We start from the raw sequence: 20,392 nt of genomic DNA, 5'->3' as shown, positions 1-20,392 counted from the left end.
GTTGTGTTCTCTATCTTAAAGTAGGGGAGTGGGGGAGTTGAGCTTTTCTACCCATCTTATTTGCTAAGTTTATTCATCAGCTAAGCTGCATTCGCATTTTTCATGAAAAGGTCTGGTAAGTAAAATGTTGGTAATGTGTGAGAGATGTCAATAAAAGCCAACTTGAGGTAGGACAAGCAAGGTTAGGAGGCTACACTGACTTGTCCCTTTGTGTGAAGCCTTGCAGTCTCCTCTCCCATCCTCACACCCTTCTGCCTCAACACCTAACTCTTTTGCAAGATAAGCAATCCTACAGGATGTCAACTGACTGACTGCCAGATAGTTTCAAGCTCCTGACACCCAAAATGACCGGGGAAATAAAGCAAGAGCCCCTTATTCATGATGTGGCTCCCCTAATTTCCAGCCAATCAGCACCAAAATCCCAAGAAGCTATTAGCTACAAATTCCAGCCTTGGGGAGGCTAGGGACATTTCTGGGTCTCATCTGTGCAGCTAAGCTCAAGATTTAGCTTATAGTGACCTTTTCTTCATTTTAATAGAAAAAACACACCCCTAGGTAGAGATTTTAGATGCTAATGATGCATGTGATGCATGTTAGAGCTTGTAGATTCTGAGTGCATGAATCAGCTTCAGGTCCACCTTTGCATGCTTGACCTCACCAGTATTTTATGAATATGTATGTACAGTTCACATAAAGGGAATTTCCCTTAAGGCACTAGGGGCTGTTTCACCCTTTGAGCAGCCTGGTCTGCCTTTCCAGGTGTACTTTTGCTTTGCAATAAACTTCTTGTCCTACTCTTACTTTGGACTCACTCTCAAATTGTTTTGCACAACAAACTCAAGAACCTGAACTGCCTCACCAACAACAAATGTAAAAGTGGCCACAATAATATGGTCCAGGATCTTTAATGGTCTGGCTTCCTCCAAATAAAATAATTCAAAGCAACTAAAAGAAAGATTTCTGAGACAGTGTTTTATGAATATAATCCGTAGTAACTGAGTGTTATGGGTTGAATTGTGTCCTTACAAAAAATATATGTTGGAATCCTAACATCCACCATGTCAGAATGTGACCTTATTTAGAGCTAGAATCTTTCCAAAGGTAATCATGTTAAAATGAAGTCATTAAGGTGAGCTCTAACTCAATATGACTCATATCCTTATAAAAGGGAAAAATGTGGACACTTTCACAGACGTGTTCAAAGGGAAGACAACGTGAAGACACCAGGAGAAGATGACCATCTATAAGCCAAGAAGAGAGGTAATCAACAGATCACTCCTTCTTAGCCCTCAGAAGGAAACAACCCTACCAACATCTTGGTCTCAGACTTCTAGCCTCCATAACTATGAGGCAATACATTTCTGTGGTTTAAGCCACCCAGTTGTGGTACTTTCTTATAGCAGCCCTAGCAAATGAATACTTCCAGCATTTAGGAGCTGCCTTGGGAGCAACTCTTTCTGAATTGAAGAGGAAGAATTGTGGAGTACACACACACACGCACACACACACACACACACGATGTTTATGGTTGGCTAAAAGCCTAAATGGTTCTGGTATGGCCTTTTAAGTGGGGGTTGAACACCTTAAGTTAGACAACTTTCTTAGAATTTGGCATAGCACTCCACTTAGAATGAGAAAGTTTCATGTAATGGGTGAAGAAAGAATGAACGTAGACTACAAGTAAATGTACTGCTTTTAACATTATTTAAGCAGTAATTTAGATCAATCCAGTAGAGGGTGAGTTACATTTCACATTCTAGGCCATCTAGTCAGAGAAAACTATCTGAAAGCTCACATATCAAATTCATAGCTGCAATTATTTCTGGGGAAGAGAGTGAAATTGCAGGATTAGTGAAAAACAGCTTTCACTGTTGCTTTACATACTTTTTAATTGTTTGACTTTTAGAGAAGAATCAATTTGTATACCATTGACATAAGTAAAAATTTTGAACTATGTTTATATACATATATGAACATATGTATATGTATGTGTATGTATGTGTCTATCTATATAATTGTTTTCTTTCATGTATTGCATTATTGCATTGTATAATTGTATCATATACCAGACACTAGGAAAATAACAATGAACAAAACAGATAACTTGGGTCTTCATAAAACTTAGTCTCCCCTTCTCCAAAACTTGATGAATTCCCACTACTGACTTTCTAAGTATTCATTCTTTAGAATTTTCCTCCCTTATCTACTCTTTTTCACCATTTGAGTGAAAAATAATCCTTTTATTCTAACACCCCCCATCTCCCAAAGCCATCATCCCTTTCCACTTCTTGTTTAAAGTCTAGCTAAATTCTGTAGTCATCAAAGTTTAGTTCCACTCTTAGTATTGTGAACTGGAGATGGTCCCATTCTGATGTGAAGGTGGATGTGAAGTTTCTCTCTGGGAACCAATCTCCCCATGAACCAAGCTTAGTCAACACTGTCAAGCACATAGACATGGAAACTGAGGCTCTGTGAAAGCTAAACTGTGTTTCAGGGCAGCATAAGCTAAGTACAATGAAGCCATCTTTACTTTCCTTCAGTCCCACATTGGATCCTTCCTGATGTCTGCTTTGACTGTGCTTTGAGAGGAAAGCTTGATTGAACTGAGCTCTGGCATGTTTGTAGGAGATGTGATACTTTATATGCACACACTGGTGATTTCTAAAGTTCTTATTTTTTATCTGTAGAAATAATTTGAGACCAGAGCTACAGGTGATTTTATAGATAACAACAACAACAAAAAAGGACCTGCTTTCCAAACAGAAGAGTGAGATTTTCACCTTCTCTCTGAAACCTCCCTTCAGCCTGGAATATCCAAATCCTACCCATTCCCCACAATTCAAGACAAATCCCAACTTTTCCAAAAAGTCTTCTTGGGTGTCCTCTCCCTGCTAAAATTAATGTCTTTCCATTTCACTTTATGTGTATCTCACAGTCTGCCTGGCAGAGGAGCTGCTTCTGAAGAAGTCCTAAGAAAGTCACCCCAAAATATAGCAACCAGGTATGCTGACAATTTAAAATTAAAGGCACATGGGGATCAGTAGATGCTGCATGAGGCTGTTCTCTGGAGTTCTCTTATCAACCTAAAGATCAAATCTGCTAAAAAGGAACAGAATTACCTTCAACCTTCTAACTGCAATTTCATTAACCAGGGAAGATTAAATACAAATCGTGGAAGAAGAGACTAAAAACCAAACACTATACCCAGAGCCCAGATAAACTTTGTCTGAGGCCACTCTCTGTTTTGTGGGCCCATTATCTACCCTAAAAATCATTTATTACACCTCTAACATTGATTATTGCCTACATCTCCCACTTCCCTCTCTCCTATGAAGAAGGTTCTCTAAGCTTCTGAACTTCATTGGGTTACTGGGTGCTCACCTCCTTGTGATGTCCTCATGCTTGGTAATAAATTTGTATGCTTTTCCTCCTGCTTTTTCAGCAGACTTAAAGACTCAGGTCTGCTAGGGGTGAAGGGAAATCCCCTTTGCCCCTATGCTTGCTATGCACATTTAATTTTTATTTGTGGGATATATGGTTGCAAAGAGAAACTAACAGTGTTTACAACTCAAGCAGAAAAGGAACTTATGGGAAAGTAGCTCATTTTATGAATAAGAAGGCTAGAGACCAAACTCTGAAATGTGAAATGAAATAAATTCCAGTGATGGACTGAATCCACCCTCCTTTGTGTCTATACAGCTTGCCATGAGATTTTACAGTTCCAATCACTAAAGATGTAGAACTTATCTCCCCATCACTTGATTTTGGTCTTTGTCAGGTGACTTCCTTTAGTCATAGCCAGTGTGAGGTAAGCAAAGTCTCTTTTTTTTTTTTTTTTTTGAGACGGAGTCTTGCTCTGTTGCCCAGGCTGGAGTGCAGTGGCATGATCCTGGCTCACTGCAACCTCCGCCTTCCGGGTCCAAGCGATTCTCCTGCCTCAGCCTCCTGAGTAGCTGGGATTACAGGTGCCCACCATCAGGCCTGGCTAATTTTTGTATTTTTGGTAGAGAGAGGGTTTCACCAGGCTGGTCTCAAACTCCTGACCTCATGATCCGCCTGCCTCAGCCTCCCAAAGTGCTGGGATTACAGGCCTAAGCCACTGCACCCAACCAAGCAAAGTCTTAAAAGGTGCTTGAGTGAAAGGTCTTGGGGTTTTGTTGACTTTTTTTTATTTTTATTTTTTGACAGGGTTTCACTCTGTTGCCCAAGCTGGAGTGCAGTAGCATGATCTCGGCTCACTGCGACCTCCTCCTCCTGGGTTCAAGCAATCCTCATGCCTCAGCCTCCTGAGTTGATTTCAGGCAACTGCCACCAAGCCCAGCTAATTTTGCATCTTTAGTAGAGATGGGGTTAGCCAGGCTGGTCTGGAACTCCTGACCTCAAGTGATCCTCCCACCCTAGCCTCTCAAAGTGCTGGGATTATAGGAATGAGCCACCGTGCCCGGCCAGGCTTGGGATTTTGAGCTTCTGTAATTGCCATGGAAAAAAACATGCCCAGGATAGCTCAATAGTATTACAGGGAGAATGGGGAAACAGTGGAGCAAAGCTGAACTGGCACAGCCAAGCCCAGGCAAGATTGTTATATTAAGCCACTGAGTTTTGGGGTCGTTTCTGATGCAGAAAAACCAAGCAGATGCACTATATGATTTTACACTCCAACCTCCATTCCCAGCTAGGTCTTCAATAATTATCTCATTGGTAGGCAAGTTTGAATGTTCACACAAAGCATATGCCCTTTGTTTATGCTCCTTACATTTTAACTCCAGTAGTTCTTAAAATTTTAAAGGACACAAGAATTATTGCACAGACTTATATTTATGACCCATATATGTAACACTTTATGGACAGGTTAATGAAACTTTCAAGGGTAATTTTGAATAAATGAGATTTTCTATTTATTCTCTGATTTTAGAACCTAACCCCAGTTAGAGTGGTACTCTGTTATGTTTATCAATGCTTAGGTTGTAAACTTCTGTTTTTGCATTTTGTTTATTTGGTTGTGTGTTTTACCTTCCAGATCCACCTCTCAGGATAGGTTGTAATCTTCCAGAGGGTGGGGACTGTATTATATTTATCTCTTTGTCCACCTACCTCCCAAATCTGCTCCCAGGCTAATTCAGTGTTTGTTCAATTGAATGGTTTTGTAGTTATTAAGCATCTGTTGCATAAGGCAGCATTTCTAGAGAGCTCTGAGAACAGTTTGTTGCTGCCAAAGGCTTGCATGCTAAGGTGTGTAGAACTCATTCAAAACATATATTTTTTAATTGAAAAATAAATATTTATTTAATATATTATGTTAATATATTAATACTATGATAATTTTATATATATATATGTATATATATATATTCTTTCTGGGGTTTCCTTCTTTGCAAGGAAACCCCAGCAAGTGCCTTGGGTGCACATTTTCCTTGCCAATTAAATCAGCACAATTTTCTCTGACTGCCAGTCAGGCACAAATTGGAAACTGGGTATTTTAGAAAAATTTTCCCTCCCTCATATTTTATCACACAGCTGCTCTCAGTTCATAGACACTGACAATTGCAAAATGCCCCACAAATTGTTGCACTTCAAGGAGCCATGCTGAACATTTCGGCCAACTGGGAATCTTCCTAGGGAGATCAGACCAAGTTCTCACTCTGGCTTCAGGAGGCTACAGCCCATTTCTCTTCCTAAACGTGCCCCCTGTGTGATTTAGGTCAGTGCAGCCAACCTTCTGTGTTTGTCTAGCTGGACATTAGGGATAATGATACCTAACTGCCTCACCGGGGTGTTGAGGAGTTCAACAATTAATCACTTTGTGGCCCTTAGTTGAAAAATGTCATGAACCTCAGTCAGGACAAAGAACACCCCTTGGCAGAAAAGGCAGAGCAGTATGATGGGAAAAGCCCTCTGGCAAACCAGATATTCTCCTCCCACCCTGCGGATTCCTCAGTCATTAGTCAGAAACCAGTCCACCTTGTCCCCCAACTGTAGGGGACCAATATTAACCTACCTTAGAGTCACTCTGTATTGATTTTCAGTAAAAAAGGAAGATTCCCTTTCCATTCCCATAAAAGAGGGTGGGACACACAGCCCACCAGCTATTCTCTTGGACACTCTTTCTCACACCTCCAAATCTTTCCTCAGCCTCAAAGGCTGAGGATTGGCAATCAGCTATGGGAAAATTCCAGTTTCCCACAACCTTCTATTGCAAGTCCTGACTGATGGTTTCAGGTCTCACTTTAAAATGTGGTATCCACATCTTGAAACCTCAAACTGGAAACAAGAAAAGTTTAAACACCCTATTATTTTTCTGGTAAACTCCTAGATTCATAGTAGGCACTTGATAAATTGTGTTGAATGAATGAATATTGCTGTCTCTTTCTTCAAAGGTTGTTTTGTTTTGTTACTGTGTTTTAACTCTGACTAAATTTTAAGATTCTCCAGGATAGATTATGCCTTGCACAGAACAGAAACACAATGTGTCCAAGCTTCTGAAAGTGTGGTCCTAGTTCTACCAGCAAAAAGAAAAAATATGGATACTTGTTTAAAATGCAGAATCTGGGATCTATACCATATTAACAGCATTGAAGCAAGAATGTGCATTGTAAATAAGTTCTTCCAGGGATGTGTGTTGACACTAGGGACAATCCTGGGCACAGGAGATGAAAATATTTGGAGATTAGGGAAGGAGCCAATAAGGACTAGGGGACACAGCCTTGTCAGAAGTTGTAATGCTAGTTATTTTCACAATGTGTTTCAAAGGAAGTTTCATTGTGAGTTGTCATAGCAAAGTACAACTAGTTTCCTTGCGTTTTTATTCTATTTCCAAGAACAATTTGTATTTTTCATGTTGTTGAAGAAACAAATAAAACAAGTTCTTATGTATCACAGCATTCATAGATTTAATATACTTTTAACAGTTCTAGGATGCTTCCATGGATTACAAACTTTTTCCTTTTTTGTAGTTGGAGAGAAGCACATCTTGAATCCATCCTCCAGTACACCATCTCCCCAAAACACTACATTTATTGTTGAAGTGTTTGATTTATTTAAAGTTTCTTTCTTATTGTGCCTAATCCAATATCCCATATGCATACAGTAAATGCTGAATAAATGTTCCAGTCTCCTGACAAAATTTCAGAGTTTTAATTAACAATTCAGGAATCAGAGTACGAGAGCAAGCCAAAAGCTGTAGGTGCAAGTATGATAGCATTTTGTCATAAAAATTCTTATGAACTCTGCAGAGAGACAGTCTGTGAATGGGTAAGATAATTAAAAACACATGTTATGCAAAAAAGTGTGACCATGCTAATATTTTTTCAAGGATAATCACAGTTTCAGTTATTTTCTCAGCACCACAGATTTTGTGTATTGGCTCCTACTGTTAAAATATGCACCTGGTAATCTTAAATTAAAACTTTGTCTCATGTTAAATTTATCTTAAGTGGTGGATGGGACTACATTTTTATTAGGAGGAGCTTTATAGCCATTGTCTGGAGAAATTATTACTTTGAAGTGAACAAGGATTCCCACTGGAAATATTTAACTGTTACAAACTGGGAGCATTCAGGATGCATGGAATGAAGTTAGGAATGGAAATTCATTTCTCCCATTGACTTCTAAAAAATCTTTTTTGACCTCTGAGCAGATCAAAACAAATTCTTTAGATTTCACCTCATATACAAGCTGTGAGGAGTAACCATAATAGATTGATTGCTAATTCTCTAGTGCTATATACATTGTGATGTTGTATATCTGGATCTCTCTTGAAGGGCAAAGTTTGGAGTCTCTGAGCTTCTCCCAATGAGAACACAAAAACAATAGAAAAAAACTAACAAAACAAAAGTTAGCTTTTTGAAAAGGTCTACAAAATTGAAAAACTTTAGCTAGATTGGCAAGAACAAAAGGGTGAAGACTCAAATTACTAAAGTCAGGAATGAAAGAGAGAACGTTAATAGTGACCTTACAGAAATAAAGAGGATTACAAAGAAATATTGTGAATAACTGATTATCTATAGATTATCTATACAAACTGGAGAAATTTCTATAAAATACAAACTACCTAAACTGACTGAATAACAATTAGAACATGTATTAATACATAGACTTATAACAAGAAAAAAAGATTGACTTAGTAATTTTGAAACCTTACATAAAAAGAAACCTCAGGCCCAGATGAGATGTCCCATCAAATTCTAGCCATTTTAAAAAGATTAATTCCAACACTTCATAAGTTCTTCCAAAGAGTAGAAGAGAAGGAAATACTCTCTAACATATTCTATAAGGCCAATATTATCCTGTGACCAAAGCCACACAGAGAAATCACAAAAAACTATGGATCAATCTCCCTATAAACATACATGCAACAATCCTCAAGAAAACTCTAGTCAAGTGAATTCAAGAACATATTTAAACAAGGATTACACAACTTGACCACGTAGGATTTAACAAACAAAAAACCCACAAGTTTGTTTTTTTAACATCAGAAAAATAAATTAATGTAATATACCATATTAATAAGATAAAGGACAATAATCACATGATCATCTCAAAACATGAAGAAAAAGTATCTGATGAAATCCAGCACCCTTTCATAATAAACACATGTATCGAACTAGAAATAGAAGGGGACTTCCTCAAACTGATAAGGCATTTACAAAAAATTGACAGCTAACATCATACTCAATGGTAAAAAAAAGAATGATATTCTGCTAAGATCAGGAACAAGGCAAGGATGTCTGCTCTCACCACTAATTCAACATAATGTTGAAAGTGCTAGCTATTCTCAGACAGCATTATCTTATATGTAGAAAATTCTAATAAACCCACAAAAGAACTTATGAGCTCAGCAAGGTTGCAGGATATAAGACTGACATACAAAGATAAATTTTATTCCTATGCACTAACAATGAAAAGTCCAAAAATAAAATTAAGAAAACAATTCCATTTATAATGCCATCAAAAATTTAAAAAATAATTAGAAATAAGCTTAATAAAACAAATATGAGACTTTTAACATGAAAACTACAAAATATTGTGGAAATCAACTAAAGAAGACCTGAGTAATTAGAAAACATCTTAATCTAATGTTCATGGATTAGATCACTAAATATTGTTAAGATAAAAATATTACCCAAATCAATGTAAGAGTCAAGGTTAATATTAATATGTGAGATTTTGTTTCTGTCATAGTGTTGTTAGCTGGTTGCCTTGGAGTCTCAATTGTATAATTGTTTTTTAGGATCTGTGAGCTTTCTACTCATGTGTGCTTTTGTGTTGGTGAGTATTGTCCTTTTGTTTCCATGTTTAGAATAACTTTGAGCATTTCTTGTAGGGCTGGTCTCATGATGATGAATTCTCTTAATATTTTCCGGCCTTGCAAAGACTTTACTTCTCCTTCATTTCTAAAGCTTGTTTTGGCAGAACATAAAATTCTTTCCTGGTTGGCTTTTTTTTTTTTTTTTTTGGTAGAGACAGGGGTCTTACTTTGTTGCCCAGGCTGGTCTTGAACTCCTGAGCTCAAGCCATACTCCTGTCTCAGCCTTGCAAAGTGCTGTGATTATACTTGTGAGCCACTGCACCCAGCCCATTTCTTTTCCTTAAGGAGGCTAAACATAGGCCTTCCTTGGAGCCATCTTGAAGGCTGGCTACTACAAAAAGCCATTAGGTTTATAAGCAAGAGAGTGACATGAGTCTTTAAAAGTTCACCTTCTGCTGTGGGGATAATTGATTGTAGAGGGGCAAGAGTAGAAGGCAGAAGACTAGACAATAAACCAGTACACAAGCAAAAAAAGGACATGACCAAAAAAAAAAAAAATACAGGCAAACACCCCGATGAACATAGATGCAAAAATTCACATCAAAATGCTAGCAAACCAAATCCAACAGTGCATCAAAAAGATAATACATCACAATAAACTGCAGTTAATTCTAAGGGTGCAAGGATGGTTCAACATATGCAAATCAATAAATGTGTTTCACCATATAAACAGAATAAAGACAAAAACCATATGATCATCTCAATACATGCAGAAAAAGCATTCTGTAAAATCGAACATCCTTTTATGATAAAAACCCTCACCAAACTAGGCATTCAAGGAACATACCTCAAAATGATAAGAGCCATATATGACAATCTTATAGCCAACATCATACTGAATGAGGAAAAGTTGAAAGCATTTCTCCTATGAGTTGGAATGATACAAGGATGTCCACTCTCACCACTTCTATTCAATATAGTAATGAAAGTGCTAGCCAGAACAATCAGGCAAGAGAAAGAAATAAAATGCTTCCATATGGGAAAGGAAGAAGTCAAATCATCTCTGTTTACTGATGATGTAATTTAATACCTAGAAAACCCTAAAGATTCTTTCAAAAGACTCCTAGACTTCATAGACAACCTCAGTCAAGTTTCAGGATAAGAAATCAATGTATAAAAATCAATAGCATTTCTATATACTAATAACTTTCAAGCTGAGAACCAAATCAAAAACTCAATTCTGCTGGGCACGGTGACTCTTGTCTGTAATCTCAACATTTTGGGAGGCTAAGGTGGAGGATTGCTTGAACCCAGGAGTTTGAGACTTGCCTGGGCAAGTCTCTTGTAGAGACTTCCATCTCTACAAGAAGAAAATTAGTTTGGTGTGGTGGTGAGTGCCTGTAGGCCCAGCTACTCAGGGGGCTGAGGTAGGAAGATCACTTGTCCCTGGGAGGTTGAGGCTACAGTGAGCCATTATTGCACCACTGCACTCTAGCCTGGGTCACAGAGTGAAACTGTGCTTAAAAAAAACCCCAAAAACCAAAAACCTCAATCACATTTACAGTACAAACACACACACACACACACACACACACACACACACACACCCCTAGGAATGCATTTAACTAAGGAGATAAAAGATCTCTCCAAGGAGAACTACAAAATACTGATGAAGGAAATTATGGATGACACAAACGAATGGAAAAACATTCCATGCTCATGGATTGGAAGAATTGATACTGTTAAAATGATCATACTGCACAAAGAAATCTACAGATTCAATATAATTCCTATCCAATTGCCAATGTCATTCTTCACAGAGTTAGAAAAACAATCCCAAAGTTCATATGGAACCAAAAAAAGAACCTGAATAGCCAAAGCAATCCTAAGCAAAAAGAATGAAGCTGGAGGCATCACATTCTCTAACTTCAAATTATAATACAAGGCTATAGTAACTAAAACAGCATGGTACTGGTACAAAGACAAACACATAGATCAATGGAATAGAATAGAGAACCTCATAAAAAAGCCACATTCCTAGAACCAGCTGGTCTTCAACAAAGTCAACAAAAACATGCACCCATGTTTTTCAATACACGGTGCTGGGAAAATTGACTACCCATATGCAGAAACTGAACTCATATTTCTCAACATATACAAAAATTAACTCAAGAAGGATTAGAGATTTAAATAAGACCTGAAACTATAGAAGTCCTAGAAAAAAAACCTAGAAAAAAACTCTTCTGGACATTGGTTCAGGCAAAGCATTTATGACTGATATCCCAAAGCAAATGCAACAAAAACAAAAATAGACAAATGGGACTTAAACTAAAAAGCTTCTGCACAGCAAAATAAATAGTCAACAGAGTGAACAGACAACCTGCAGAATGGGAGAAAATATTTATAAATTATGCCTCTGACAAGAGACTAATATCCAGAATCTACAAGGAACTCAAAAATTCAACAAGAAAGAAACAAATAGCCTCATTAAAAGGTAGGCTAAGGACATAAACATTTCTCAAAAGAAAATCTGTAAGTTACCAACAAACATATGAAAACAATGCTCAACATCACTAATCATTAGAGAAATACAAATTAAAACCACAGTGAGATATCATCTTACATCAAGCAGAATGGATTATTGAAGAGTAAAAAAAAATAACAGATGTTCGCATGGATGCAGGAAAAGAAAATGCATATACACTGTTGATGGGAGTGTAAATTAGTACAATGTCTATGGAAAACGGTGTGAAGATTTCTCAAAGGATTAAAAATAGAACTATCATTCAACCCAGAAATCCCACTACTGGGTATATGCCAAAGGAAAAGAAACCATTTTTTAAAGAGGATACCTGCACTTGTATGTTTACCACAGCAATATTCATAATAGTAAAGTGATGAAATCAACCTAAGGTGTCTATCAACCGTTTATTGGATAAAGAAAATGTGGGATATATAAACCATGGAATGCTATGCAGCCATAAAAAGAATGAAATCATGTAATTTGCAGCAACATGGATGGAGTTGGAGCCCATTATCTTAAGTGAAATAACTCGGAAACAGAAAATCAAATACTGCATGTTCTCACTTACTAGGCAGAAGTTAAACAATGGGTACACATGGGCATAAAGATGGAAATAATAGGCACAGGGGACTTCAAAAGGGAACAGAATGGAAGTGGGGTGATGGTTGGAAAATTATCTATTGGGAACAATGTTTACTATTTGAGTGATGGGTACACTAGAAACCCAAACCTCACCATTATGCAATATATTCATGTAACACACCTCCATACGAACCCCCTGAATCTTAAAAAAAAGATGATCCCAATATCTGCCTCCTTGTATTCATGCCCTTGTGTATTCCCATCCTGCCCTCAATGGGTTGGAACTGTACAAACACTAGGATATCATAGAACTCATTATGTGAAAATTTCAGTGCTCAAACATTAAAGACATTGTGACTTTAGTCTTGGTCTTCCTATGTCACACACTCTGAAAGAAGCTAGCTGTCAGGTCATGACACTCAAGCAGCCCTATGGAGAGGGCTGCATGACAACCAATCATGGTGAACCAGCAACACAGACTTGCCAGCTATTTACATGAAACATCTTGGAATTGGATACTTTAGTTTCAGTCAAGCTTTCAGATGACTACCACCCTACTAGCTAACACCTCGATTAAAACTTCATGAGTTACTCAAGGTAACACCACCCAGCTAAACTATTCCCAGGATCCTGACTCTCAGAAATTAAAAATAATTGTTGCTTTATGCCTCTAAGTTTTGGGACAATTTGTTACATGGCAATATAGATGTTAGTACCTGAACACTGGGTGCTACCATAACAAAAACTTAAACTGTGGGAGTAGCTTTGGAATCCAGCAGTGGGTGGAAGTAGAAAGAACTTTTAAGAAAGTGTGTTAGTGAAAGCGTAAGGTGTTTTGACTGTTAGCAGAAGCCCAATGGCTTTCAAAGAGGTACTGGTGAAGACTCAACAAGAAAATGGTATGGGAAGTTAGAGGACAGAGGATCATCTTTGCATATAGGGACAGAAAGTTTAGCAACACTAAACTGTGCTAATGTATCTGTCACCCAGGCTGGAGTACAGTGGTGGAATCATAGCTCACCGTAACCTCGAACTCCTAAGCTCAAGTGACCTTCCCGCCTTGGCCTCCCAAAGTGCTACGACTATAGGTGTGAGCCATCATGCCTGGCTGATAATGTAGAAAGCAGAAAATGTGCCTAATGGGCTAGGTTTCCTAGTTAAGACAGATTTGCAAGCAGAGTGTTGAAAGTGACTCCCGATTTCTTCTTCCTGCTTACATTAAAAAGCAAGAGGAAAGAGATAAGATTAAAGAAGGACTTTTAAACAAAAGGAGCCTGGACTTGGAGGTTCTGAAAATTCTCAGCTTCTTCTAATGGCAAAGGATGATAAGATTAAGAAATGGCTTTGTGACAAACATCAAATCTTTTGCAGCAATCTTTAATTTGTTACACAATGTAAACTTTCCATGACATTCAGAATAAAGCCTCTAATGGTTTTATTTTTTAAATTAATTAATTTCTTTTATCATAGTCTTTCAAATTCTCCTTTATCTACCTATCCAGCCAGCCAACTCCAGCACCACACTCTTCTCTCCTTATCAGGCTCCAGCCAGGCAGAATTTTTCTTTCATTCTTGAACACACCAAGCTCTCCTCCATTGAAGTAGCTTTGTAGATTTAATTCTCTCCATTTCAAATGCTCTTCCCCTAACATTTTCATGGCTTGCTTTTTCTTGTCATTCAATCCTTCTATTTGTATTGAGTCAAATGTAGTTAGATTAAATACAAAGGGAAGGATTGAATGGACAAGGAGTTCTTCTAAGGGGGTGACATTTTAGCTGTGATCTGGATGCCAGAAAGAGCTATTAGTATTATTCAATAGCAGGCATTATTTTTGATTTATTGAATTTTCAATATTTTAATTGTCTCTCTTTCCTATTGGAAATGTCAACTCCATGAGAGTAAGGAGCTTGTCTTTCTTGAAAGACTGTATCATCAGTACTCAGTATATCCTCAGTACTCAGTACTCACTGAGGATACTCAAAATAGTCCTCAGCACACAGTAGGAACCAATCAATATCTGTTGAATGAACAAATAAATGAATAAATGAATGCCTAGTTTAGGTAACTGGGGCTAAGACAGGTTAAATAACTTACTTAAGGCCACATAATCTTATTTTTTCTGAAATATATATACTTCAAACTTGATCTGCATATCTCTGAGGGAATTTGTCATATATCCAAATGATAATAATAAAATAAGCATAACTTCCTTATTTTTAATAGGTATTAAGAAATTTAAAATGCAATTTATAATATTTTCTATCAATGGGATCAGATTTCTCATCTCCTGAAATGACATACTATAGCTTTTCTGCCTTAACAAATATTTTGTTAGAATTCCCCGAGTACTTTGATAAATATATAGGGCAATTCAAAGTTTAGGTCATATTTTAAGACGTTTAAAATGTAGGCATGCATTGTGGATTCTTGATATGTATAGCCTTACTATAATTATTAGTTATATATATATATATAGTTTTACTACAATTATTGACTGGATAATTGTCAAACATTTTATACTTAACACACACAGGAACAATAATATTTTATTTTGTTTTATTTTATTTTTATTTTTTTTTTTTGAGACAGAGTCTTGCTCTGTTGCCAGGCTGGAGTGCAGTGGCATGATCTCGGCTCACTACAACCTCTGCCTCATGGCTGGGTTCAAGTGATTTTCCTGCCTCAGCCTCCTGAGTAACTGGGACTACAGGCACACGCCACCATGCCCAGCTAATTTTTGTATTTTTAGTAGATATGGGGTTTCACCATGCTGGCCAGGATGATCTTGATCTCTTGACCTCATGATCCACCTGCCTCAGCTTCCCAAAGTGCTAAGATTACAGGCATGAGCCACCATGCCCAGCCAACAACATTTTAAAGACAGGCTGTGAGACATTTTAAAAGGAGAAGTTGCCACATAATTATAGTAACAGAAACTATTAGTGAATTTGGGAAGTTATTGTCCAGCAACGTCTCTAGGCAGGTGCACTCTTAAACCATCATTAGATGATATAAATCCATCTGTAGTTGGAAGGATGAAGAACAAGCTTCAGCTTCCATAATTATCTCAGTCAGGAGTACTTATGAAATACACCTTTCATCAGGCCTCTGGACACTAATGGGGTCATGTTAAAACGGTTTCTTAAATTTTGTTATTTCAGAGCCCTATCTACAAACCTTCAGAACTTCAACACCACCCTTAAAGTTGTCCCAAATATTTCAGGTAATGCAGGGCTGTGTCCCATGTACCCAACTGTGGCCTGTGAGCCCTCCGGAACGTGCCACTGTGGTTCTACCCTCCATGGGAGCATCACTTTCCCACTTTAGAGTGTAACTTCCACTGCTCACCAAACAGTAAATCCTGCCCCCCACCCCATTACAATCCTCCTCCAGGCTCTGGCGCTTCCTGAGCTGGGGCCTTACGGAATTCCTCAAAGCAATGGCAGCATGCCCCTTCCCTCATTTCCCATTCAGCTATTATATGTGGATCCCAAAATGGCCCAGAAATTACTCCAGAGAAATATCTTCTAGATTTTTTTGTCTTCTCTGTTCCCAGGGTATAGGCCTGGGGCACACATACTAAGCTGGCTTCTCACCCCAGGTACCCACAGAAACTGCACACAGGGTGAATGTTGGAAGGGTGAGCGTTTAGAGTCCCCATGTACTCTGGCTCAGCTTAGGACTACTGGTCATCAGAGAAATGTAAATGAAAACCACAATGAGATACCATCTCACAACAGTTAGAATGGCAATCATTAAAAAGTCAGGAAACAACAGGTGCTGGAAAGGATGTGGAGAAATAAGAATGGTTTTACACTGTTGGTGGGAGTGTAAACTAGTTCAACCATTGTGGAAGACAGTGTGGCGGTTCCTCAAGGATCTAGAGCTAGAAATACCATTTGACCCAGCGATCCCATTACTGGGTATATACCCAAAGGATTATAAATCATGCTACTATAAAGACACATGCACACATATGTTTATTGTGGCACTATTCACCATAGCAAATACTTGGAACCAACCCAAATGTCCATCAGTGATAGACTGGATTAAGAAAATGTGGCACATATACACCATGGAATACTATGCAGCCATAAAAAAGATTAATTCATGTCCTTTTTAGCGACATGGATGAAGCTGGAAACCGTTATTCTGAGCGAACTATTGCAATGACAGAAAACTAAACACCGCATGTTCTCACTCATAGGTGGCAATTGCAAATTTACAAGAAAAAAACAAACAACCCCATCAACAAGTGGGCAAAGGACATGAACAGACACTTCTCAAAAGAAGACATTTATGCAGCCAAAAAACACATGAGAAAATGCTCATCATCACTGGCCATCAGAGAAATGCAAATCAAAACCACAATGAGATACCATCTCACACCAGTTAGAATGGCAATCATTAAAAAGTCAGGAAACAACAGGTGCTGGAGAGGATGTGGAGAAATAGGAACACTTTTACACTGTTGGTGTTACTGTAAACTAGTTCAACCATTGTGGAAGTCAGTGTGGCGATTCCTCAGGGATCTAGAACTTGAAATACCATTTGACCCAGCCATCCCATTACTGGGTATATACCCAAAGGACTATAAACCATGCTGCTATAAAGACACATGCACATGTATGTTTATTGCGGCACTATTCACAATAGCAAAGACTTGGAACCAACCCAAATGTCCAACAATGATAGACTGGATTAAGAAAATGTGGCACATATCCACCATGGAATACTATGCAGCCATAAAAAATGATGAGTTCTTGTCCTTTGTAGGGACATGGATGAAATTAGAAATCATCATTCTCAGTAAACTATTGCAAGAACAAAAAACCAAACACCGCATATTCTCACTCATAGGTGGGAACGGAACAATGAGATCACATGGACACAGGAAGGGGAACATCACACTCTGGGGACTGTTGTGGGGTGGGGGGAGGGGGGAGGGATAGCATTGGGAGATATACCTAATGCTAGATGACAAGTTAGTGGGTGCAGCACACCAGCATGGCACATGTATACATATGTAACTAACCTGCACATTGTGCACATGTACCCTAAAACTTAAAGTATAATAATAAAAGAAAAAAAAAAACTTAAAAAAAAAAAAGAAAAGAAAAATCAGAACACTGGGACACAGGGCGGGGAACATAACACATTGGGGCCTGTTGTAGGGTGAGGAGATAGGGGAGGGACAGCATTAGGAGAAATATCTAATGTAAATGACGAGTTAATGGGTGCAGCAAACCAACAAGGCACATGTATACATATGTAACAAACATGTACGTTGTGCACATGTACCCTAGAACTTAAAGTATAATTTAAAAAAATAAAAAAATAAATTTTGCTGAAAATAGTGGGTAGTAATAATAATAGCTAACATTTATTGATACTTGCCAATGGCATAGGGAGAGGCAATGTTTTAGGAGCTTTCAGGTATTAAATATATTTAATTCTCATGAAAACTCTATTAGGTAGTCAATATTATTTTCATTTTACAGAAAAGAAAACTGTTTCTAAGAGAGTCTAAATAGCTTGTTCAGAAACACATAGGGGGCTAAGTTTTGAAGCTATGCAGCCTGGTTCCAGATCACATCCTCCTACTCATGTACCTATAATATACCTGTACTATTACAACATTAGATAATAAACACTTTGTCTTGTTTTAAGACTATAAATTTAAAGGATAATTGGAAAAGTTTCTCTTGCCTAGAGAAAAAGACAATTTTTTAAGATAATGTTGCATAACTATGTGTATTACGTTTACTGAAATAGTTATATTTGTGCTTCCCTGAATCAATGTATATTAAATATGCTTCAAAATAGATCTGAAGAAATATGTCTCCCTAGACATCAAATGGTAGTCAATAAGTGGATGTATATCTGATGGAAGTATTTTCCCTCATATTCGATTAATATTTTAAATTATGTGCTATGGTTAATTATAACACATCAAAAATGATTGAAAAGTTTTCTTATATTGTACAATTAATAAAATATTAGACTTGTAAAAAAAGAAAGAAACAATTTGTTAATTTTTTCACAGTATTATTTTAATGTAAACCTTTATGTTTTTAATTCTTATTAATTTTAAGATGCTTTATTTTTTATTAAATAGAAGCATATATTTGCATTTGGAAGCAAATCAAAGAATACGGAAGAGACTATGATAAAAAGTAATAGTCGTGCATACAACACTCACTCATCCCTGCCCCACTCCCCAGAATCAACCTTTAACATTGCTGTCCTTTGCTTTTCTGGTAGTTTGCACTAAATTTAGTTAATATTTATATAATTTCCATTTTTAAACCTATCACCTACAAATGACATTTTGTTAATTTTTCAATAAAAAAATGAGGATTAAGTTCTCACACACTATACCTCTTCCTCCTGCCCTCCTAAAGCTTGATGTTTATACTAACAATTTTAGTTTCTAATAGTTACCTTTATAACTCTACATCCCTACTTTTTTTCACCAACTTTTGATAACATGCTTTAGTTTTCCCTTTACATATAGAATTTTCATAAAACTCAACAAGACTATCATTTTTATGGCTAGTTTAAAGATGAGAAAAATGAAGTGGAGCTGTTAAGTAATTTGCCCAAGCTTCCACAGCTAGAAAGTAACAAACAGATAACCCAATACCCATGCTTTTAACTTTCTATTCAATTATTTGAATATTTTTTATGAAATTGATATTATTAATTACCCCAAATCTCTATACATGTTGACACAACCATCTTCAAAAGTATTAACGGAAACACACAATATACCCAGAACAAAATAGAGTCATAAAATTTTAGTTCAAGAAGTTCTTATTTTATTGAAGATGTGGTCAAAGACTGAAAAGGTGCTACAGTTTCATTTGGTCTTTCTTTCCATATATTTTCCATAGAATTTCCTTTTCTTCAGACAGACTCGGGTAAGTAAGGGTTTTGTGTTTCATTATTATTCCCTTTCTTCCTCTTAATAAATTTCACAGCAAGAAATAAGACCAAAGAAAATCCCACTGCAGGGAATAGAACATCGAGAGGCCATATGGAGCTAGTGGGAGCCATTAGAGTAACTTCATCTTGTTTGGATGGTGAAATCACTCGGGCATGTGCAGTCATGACATGAATTCATTGCCACATGGCAGTGAGCATTCTGGCTGGGCGATTATTTTTGTAACTCCATCTGCCTGGCATCACCAGAGCCTCCAACAGCATGCTGGAACGTTGTGACGATCTCACACTGAGAGGGAGGGTGGGATTGGCGGAATCCAAGCTTTCATTATTAGTTTACTTTAAGGCTTATTTAGGGGGTTCTTTCCAGCCAAGAACTCTGTTTTGATCTCACTGAGTGAAGTCCGTTGCCCTCTCTGGGATAGCCCTGCTGGCTCACTCAGCAACCCTCAACCATGTTAACTTCATATTGAAAGGTTTTTTTGAGCCTAAGAGGCAGAAGACATAAATGACAACCAGCTTTGAAAACCGGACAAATTGTGTTGCATTTATTAGTCTTCTCACTAGTAAGACCCTGATAATGGTCACACACACACACACACACCCCCTTACTAGGGATGCTTTCAAATTAGCATAAAAACATAAAGGCTATGGGTTGTTTCCCATACTTACATTTTACTGGGCTATCTTCTTAATTTCCTGGGTTTGTTCTTGTCTGTAGTTTCTTGACATGTTGTATGCTCAAACTCAAGGGGATATTGCTTTCTCTTTAGGACAGTAAACAAGGAAATTAGAAAGGCAGGGAGGCTAAATTAAAGTAATAGGAAAAATATTTCATGTGGATACATGTTGCCCCTGGGGGTTTGTCTTTGCCCAACCACTCATTCCAACAAACCAGAGTCACACACTGCAGTGCAAGCTGGTAGATACGATGGGAGGTGGCAATATACTGTGTACATGTGGAGATGCCTTAACCCTGAATTTCTAGCATTTATTGAACTCTCTATGTGGCTTGATGTTTCACTATGAGCTTTGGCTTCAACTCCTCTCTGGAATAAATTCAGGGTGAGAGTGAGAGAGAGAGAGAGAGAGAGAG

The 20,392-nt window shown here is 37.6% G+C and overlaps 1 long non-coding RNA gene across 1 annotated transcript in view; it reads right to left on the bottom strand.

Annotated features, from left to right (window-relative positions):
* The window catches only part of LOC107986279 (uncharacterized), a 55,397-nt gene extending 35,235 nt beyond the window's left edge, over positions 1–20,162 (bottom strand). The window contains exon 1 of the long non-coding RNA XR_001741689.1: positions 19,969–20,162. This is a non-coding gene — a long non-coding RNA (uncharacterized LOC107986279). The remainder of the gene's footprint in view (positions 1–19,968) is intronic.
* Between the last annotated feature and the right edge of the window lie 230 nt (positions 20,163–20,392).

This window comes from Homo sapiens, chromosome 4 (genome assembly GCF_000001405.40).
Source record: "Homo sapiens chromosome 4, GRCh38.p14 Primary Assembly".
Lineage (NCBI taxonomy): Eukaryota > Metazoa > Chordata > Mammalia > Primates > Hominidae > Homo > Homo sapiens.
Note: the sequence above shows the minus strand (reverse complement) of the source record. Positions and strands in the feature narration are given on the sequence as shown.